We start from the raw sequence: 8,100 nt of genomic DNA, 5'->3' as shown, positions 1-8,100 counted from the left end.
AGCATTTAAAATAAAAAATATAAACATTAGTATGTGTAGTATATATGATGTCAGCCAATCTATTTCCACATTTAACTTCCCCTTTTGTCTTAATCTAACCTGCCCATGGATCTTTGATTACATTACGTTCTGCCTCAACCCAACTCAATCTCTGTCCAGCCATTGGTAATTGGACCAGCAAACAGCTGTTTACCCAGGGAAACCAATTCATAGCCTTACCTCAGCCAATCCAGTTCTCTAGAGTGAGATATAGAGACTGCCATCCATTGTTGGTAGGTTCTGGAGCTAAAAAGTCATGTATGTGGAGCAGCATTACCTAGAAATAGAGGAAGCTGGTCTGCAGAGAGAAATGGAGGGGTGTTTCTAGAAAGGCAGAAACACAGGACCATGTGGCTTTAGAAAGACACAGAGACAGATACTACAATTCCCAATTTCTGGTTCCCAGGCCTGTCCCCATGAACCCTGGGGGTTATTTCTTTCCAGTCATATATAATGTTTATGAGACAGCCAGTTGTATCCTTACTTCCACCCCCAAAAATTACATATATATATATGTGTGTGTGTGTGTGTATATATATATATGTGTGTGTATATATATATATATGTGTGTGTGTATATATATATATATATATACACATACATACATATATTTGAGTTTTGGAACCACAAACTGCTCACTTGAACAACATATGACCACTGACTTCATAAGAAGTTTGGTGTAATACTGACGTTCTAAACCGAAAGGTGCAAACCTCCATCATTTTCTGCTTGGTCATATCATGTTTTTATGAATCTGGACAAGCATTTATATATAAGAAGATTTTACATAAGATCTGGATCTTCATCTTTTTTGAAAAAAAATTTCCTAGATGGAGCATCACTGAGCCCACATTTCTGCGTGACCTAAATTGGGCACTTTTTGAGCAGTTGCTGACCCTTTGGGGTATAACATGTCACCTTCAGTTCACATCCTGCACCACCCAGGTGGTACTTGCTTTGTTATTTTCCCTGCCCAGCTGTGTTCCTGTCCTTTACCTTTTAGGCCTCCATAGGAGTTAAGTTCCCCACCCTCTCTTCCAAAAGATCTACTCTGAATTTTTTCCCTCTCCTTCGCATGCTTCTGAAGGTCAGATTCCTGGGTTCTTCATAAGAGATTACAGGCAATCTCGCTCCATCGCCTGCATTTTCACCAGAGCACCACTTTTTAACTGAAGTTAATGGCTTGTCATTAAAAGGTGATGTTGGTGCGCCCGAGGAACAAGACATTTCATTTGCCTCAGCAGTATATCCATGGCAAAAGATAAAAGCTAGAAAAATCAAACACTTCCTCATTTCTCCAGAAAACCTTTCTTTTACTAAACTAAAAATACCTCCTTTGGAATATCTTTTATTTTTTCTGCAGAGTGAATCTTTGTCACCACATTATTATCCCAAATCCCAAACACAAGCCATGAGGTTGGAGGTTCTGATGAAGGATTCAATCTGAACATTAAAAGTACTAAACCTCAATTATGAAACTGCCTGGCTTAAAGAACTAATGAGATATGCATTTTTTTTTTTTTTTGGCCCTGAGAACCTGTTTTGAAGAAGCAAACAATGTGTCATGAATTTCCCTGCTTCAGATGGGAGCAGTGGATGCTGGCCTTGAGCACTGGCTGGCCCGAAGCCCTCTTCACGCTTTAATGCCCTTGGAATAAACCAAGGGCAATATGGATTAATGAGGGGAACTCACAGGAGATCTTAATCTCCAAAGTCTTGAAAATCTGAAGTCTTGGCATCTATTAAACCACAGAGGAAAATTTTTTGTTAAGAATGGATACTTTTTGAAGACTATGTGTAAAGAAGCAGATTATTCCTTTTACTCTCAAGTTTTTGAAAGCTTTTGATCTGAACCATTGACATCTTTCATAAGGAGCCCAATCCTTGGCCAGCTAGCACATTTGGGAGGATAGTCTTTGCTCTTAAGATCTGAGTGAACTTCTCCAGCTTACCACTTGAGAGCAGGAGATCAAACCCAGAATTGAATGTAGTTTAGGCTAGTGAAGAATGTCCCACCTTCGGCCGGGTGTGGTGGCTCACACCTGTAATCCCATCACTTTGGGAGGCTAAGGCAGACGGATCACAAGGTCAGGAGATCAAGACCATCCTGGCTGACACGGTGAAACCCCGTGTCTACGAAAAATGCAACAAAAAATTAGCCGGGCATGGTGGCACATGCCTGTGGTCTCAGCTACTTGGGAGGCTGAGGCAGGAGAATTGCTTGAACCTGGGAGGCAGAGGTTGCAGTGAGCCAAGATCATGCCACTGCACTCCAGCCTGGGCAACAGAGTGACAATCTGTCTCAAAAAAAAAAAAGAAAGAAAGAAACGAAAAAAAAGAATGTCCCACCTTCTATCTATAAAGCCGCACCTCTATGAGGTAGGAGGAAAAGGCATCCACTATGCCACTGCTTTCCATTAGTCAAGGTAACATATTTCTTGGCAGAAATATTCATAGTTGTGAATTTCAAACACAGTCAAAGTAGAGGTTCAGCCCAGGCTTACCTGTAGTCAATATTACCCATCTTGTAATCAGGTTATTTTAATATTTTGTTAACAATAAAAATAACATGGATTGTGTATATTTATCCAATTCACCATTTTGAGTCTCAAGCGGACACAAGGAAAGATTGGCGAACTGATCCAGCAACGTACAGTCACCCTCAACAAGAATATTAGGTGTTAACATACCTGACTTGAAGGTGTAATTAAATGTACATCTGAAAGCTACTGCACAAGAATCTGGAGGGAATCAGACCCTTTCATTCTTTACTGACACCTTAACATTCTACACTGAATATGGAATATCTCTGCTTGTATTCATCACTATCGAGATTTGCACAGAGCTTTAAATTATAACTTCATTTGCATAACCATAGGCTTGTTGCTAGGTATTTGTCTCATTTTTAGCAAAGTGAGAAATTAGGGACTCCAGTAGGTAAAGAAGAAATAGCCAAGAGCCCCCTAGGATATAGCCCTGTGATTTCTGCCTGGTAACAACTATGGACACCCAAGACAACTGGATACAGCTTAGGTCTCCACTGAAGTTCAAACCCCAGAATTCCAGCTTCGCCCCACAAAGAAAGAAGTTTCCATTTTTAGGAAGGAACATTTATAATGAAATGTGAAGCATGTTTTATTAGCAGTAAAGACCTCAGTGATAAGTAGTTAAGTCAGTTTCTGATTTGCTGGTTTGCTAGAAAACAATGTTAACTAACAAAATAGAAAACAGATATTTAAAAAATATATATGTATCACTGTTTCTTCCCTAGACATGCTCCTTCCTTCATGAAACATTAGATATTGGGGGAGATTAAATAATAAAATGCCATAATGTCTCACTTAACAGAAACAGAATAGTAAGTTACAGGTAAATGAATTTTTGAAATAACTGAAATTTACTGCATTAAGCATCAACTTCTTAAAAATACATGAGATAGAGAAATAAATTTTAAATTACATATATTACAAAAATATAAATTACAACTTTATAAGGTTAATACATGTTATATAATTATATACATACAAATTACAAATTTACGACTTATTTTTTACCATTTAAAGCAGAAGGTATTGACCGTGGCTACTTCTTGATAACACGGGCTCCCTAATCAGGACCATGTATCTCTGTGGCACTCTCAGTATCCTAATATTTTCATTCATTCATTTTGATTTGGCTTTTTATAGTTCTTTACTTTCCTTTTTACTTTCAGCTGTTCAGCATTATTTCAGTCTGATGGTTCTAAGAATCTTTCTCAGCCACCCCAAATGCTCTTGTTCTGAAACCTTAGTTTTGAATCCTGTTCTGAATCCTTAGTTCTATCTAATCTGCTATGTACAAGTAGATTAAATGTTAGGGAGCATGTGTATGTGTGTGTGTGTGTTTGTGTGTGTGTCTGTGTGTCATAGGATTGTAAATCAGCCTTTAAGGACTCTTCCAAGAGTAAAGTCAGGAGTTTTAGTGACTGGGCATGATAGCCACACTTTTGATGGCTCAGAGTTCCCTTTCTTTCCCCTGGCTCTTAGCTAGGCTCCCAATAGTCGATGTGGCTGATTAAGTGGCATTCCGATAAATGAGGTATCAATGGGCCATGATAGTATATAAATTCTTTTCAACTGAAGCTTTAAGTACACAATTCAACTTTCAAGACCAACTCATTTCCATCTCCACATTGTGCAACCTTGATGTGCAATGTAAATAAAATATTATTGAGCATAAACATCATTTAACACATAAAGAGCAAAGTATTAATTTTGGGATCATAAATGTTTGGAAAGAGAAAAAAAAAGGCAGCATATTGAAAAAAAAAGGCAGCATATTAGTAAACACTCTTCTGATGAATCCTCAAAGAATTATACCAGTCACATGCTTCAGAGTCCCAGGAGGAGCTTGTTGGCTTGTTCACACGTGTCTGTGGGCCCCAGCTGGAGACTCTGCTTCTGAAGGTCAAGGAGAAACAGTGCCTCCCTGAGTTTTTTAATTTTCACAGTTAATTCTGACCATTGTAAACCACAAGAAATGAACCCTCCACATTCTTACCCCAGGGTACTCCTTGTCTCTCTGTATGCTATTATTTTTCTCCTTTCTCTCCTCTTCATCTCCAACTCTGTTGTCCATTTCATCCCCTTTCTATTATATTTCTTGTTCCTTCTGCCCTTGCAGATAGCAGAGGCTCCCATGCTCTCTTCAAGAACTGTGAGATCTTTTGGTTTACTAAGGCACTGATCTATGTTCTAAACTTTTTTTTGCTCAAAATTAATATATTCTAACATTCCTTGCCTTCTCCACCCACATTGCTCTTTAGTAATTATTTCCTCCTGCTTTTTGTTATAATGAATGATTTTTTTCCCATCAATATCCCCAATACATTTAAATTCATTGAGAACAAGCATTATTTCTTACTTACATTGATATCTTCCATAACACCTACTAAAGAGTAGTCATTAGCTCTATATACATATACATGTAAATATAAACATATATTTAATTAAATTGACCCTATTAATATACAGTAATAATAATTATATTAATATAGTACATTTATGTGTTGTTTCCAAAGCACTTCAATATTCATTGTCTTAATTTAAGTATATAGCAAGCCAATGGTTTTAATGGAACCAAAATAGGCATTTATTATTTTGCTTGCCCAGCATTCATTTACTTTTCTTCTGACACCAATACTCTGATTTTCTATGAAAAATAATCTCTACCCTACTTTTATTCCAAGTGTTAGATGTGGCACTAACTCCTGCCCTGAATCCAGAAACAGTCAAGTGATGGATGTCTGACCTATCAGAGCACTGCATTCCCTGGACTGTAGTGATTGCTTCAGGGATGAACATCAGGTCCAAAAAAGAAAAAAGGGATTAAATCCTGGGACTTTTGTAAAATTGTCAGTAACACAAAATAGCTCATTTCTAATTGGTGTTACTGTGATTTTTAGAATGTAAGCCAACTTGGCAGTGTAAAGAAAGAACCAACAAGGAGAACAGCAGAACTGAGGGAAGGAGAAAATACAATTGACTCTTGATGACATCATTTGAACCCCATGATCCAGCCATACCTAAAGCCTGCATAGAACTTTCATTGCTTTATGAAAACCAATACATTTCCTTTCACCATGAAGCCTTTTGAATAGGTTTTCTCCACTTAAAAAAGGAGTCCTGACTAATCCAAAACTAATATCCCTGAAGATTAAAATTGTCCCAAGATCCATCTAAAATCATGTAATTAGTCCTCTCAGGATCAGAATCAGTTCTTAACTAGTGTTTTTTCAGATACCCTTCTCTCACTCATGGACTTTAAACTGCAAAAGGTTTTGAGGACCATGCTAGATTTTTCCTCTCCTCCAATGCACCCCATACTATTACTTCTCTTTGACATAGTGTTATAAAATACCAACGTCCCTTGGCAACATTCAAGGAGAGTCAGAAAACAACTTTCAAAATAAGTTAGTCAGTGGAGTTTTGAAAAAGTCAATTTCTTTGTATATAACCAGACGTGAGACTGTTAGATAGTATTGTAGTTCTTTATCTGCATTCCCATGTTTATTGCAGCAATATTTATGATAGCCAAGAAACATACTCAACCTATGTGTCCATCAACAGATGAATTTAAAAAAGTGTCATATATACACAATGAAATACTGTTCAGCCATAAAAAAGAATGCAATCCTGTAATTCACAGCAACATGGGTGAGCCTGGGAACATTATGTTAAGTGAAATAAGCCAGACACAGAAAGATAAATACCATATGTTCTCACTCATATGTGGAAGCTAAAAAAGTTGATCTCATGGAAGTAGAGAATAGAATAGTGGTTACTAGAGGCTGAGAAGGGTAGGAGGAAGTGAGCATAGGGAAGTGTTGGTTAACGAATACAAAATTACAGCTAGATAGGAGGAAGAAGTGCTAGGGTTCTATGGCACTACAGGGTGACTATAGTTAACAATAACTTAACTGTATGTTTTCACATAGCTAGAAGAGAGGATATTTAATATTTTCAACACAAAGAAATGATAAATGTTTGAGGCAGTGGTAATGCTAATAATCCTGATCTGATCATTACACATTGTATACATACATTGAAATACCACACTGTACCCCATAAACATGAACAATTATTATGTGCCAATTAAAAATAAATTTTAGGCCAGATGAAGCGACTCATGCCTATAATGCCAGGACTTTGGGAGGCCGAGGCAGGAGGACCACTTGAGGCCAGGAGTCCAAGACCAGCCTGGGCAACATAGTGAGACCCGCCCCCACCCCGATCTATACAAAAATAAAAAATAAAATAATAATTTTTTAAAAGTCCACTGTTGCCACAAATTTATTTTACACAGTTAAAATGAGTCTACCAAATATTGACAGCTTTCACAATTTTACTTATCCATAGTATGGGTGAATACAATCAGCCATGTTTCTTTCTATAGTTTCCTCCTGATCCCACATGTTAACACATGATTTGGTCTTTCCCTCCAGATCCAGGTAAGTCACTGTACCATGTGATAAGAATAGAAATTATTCAAGCAGAATAGATTTTTTAAAATGTCATGAACTGGGACAAAGGAATGAAATTGATCAAACCCTGCCTATGTGGCATGACTAAATAATTCAACAGCAGATAATTCTGGCAATTCGGGCGGCTCACAGTAGTTAAGAGTTTAACATCTCTGCCCCAGGCAGAAAGAGGCTTGCTTCAGCTGCTTCAGCAATGCCTATCTGATATCAGCCCAAAATACTGGTCACTGTGTACTCATCTGTCTTCTTTCATAAAACAGAACCTACTGGAACAAGGAGAAAGGAAAACAAACCTGGAGGCTCTTGTGACATGCTGGCTGCCATAGCTGATAGGAATAGGAACTGTCCTTCCACTGGGTAAAAGGTCAAGGTCAGGCTTGTCAGTTTTTATTCACCTGTGAAGCTGAAGAGGTAATCAATCTTGGGGGATTACTTTTGTTTGCTGTTTGCCCATAGTACACACACACACACACACACACACACACACACACACACACAGGAAATCCTCATTATTGGTGGATTTACAGATTCTGTATTTGCAAATTTGCCGCTGTGATAAAATCTGTCACTCCAAAATCAATACCTGTGATGTTTTCATAGACATACTCAGAATGAGAAAAAATTTTAGTTGCCTATGCAGTCCCAACCGAGGTGAACAAGGCCACAACACTTTGTCTTCTTGTTTCAGCTCTCATACTGCTACCAAGCATCCTTTCCACAGTCTATTCAGTGCCATGTTTTTCTCATTTTTTTTGTGCTTTTTGGTGGTGATTTCACTGTTTAAAATGGCCCCCAACTGCAGTGCTGAATTGCTGTCTACTGTTCCTGAGTGCAAGAAGGCTGTGATGTTCCTGACAGAGAAAATGTGTGTTAGATAAACTTCCTTTAAACATGAGTTATAGTGCTGTTGGCTGTGAGTTCAAGGCAAATGAATCAAAATATATATTAAATAAATAATCACATAAAACAAGGTTACATATTGAGCAGTTGGTAAGAATGAATATTGTGAGCCCACAGGGAATCTAACTGTATAATTTTCC

The sequence above is a fragment of the Homo sapiens genome, chromosome 10 (assembly GCF_000001405.40).
Source record: "Homo sapiens chromosome 10, GRCh38.p14 Primary Assembly".
Taxonomy (NCBI): domain Eukaryota; kingdom Metazoa; phylum Chordata; class Mammalia; order Primates; family Hominidae; genus Homo; species Homo sapiens.
This window is presented reverse-complemented; position numbering follows the sequence as displayed.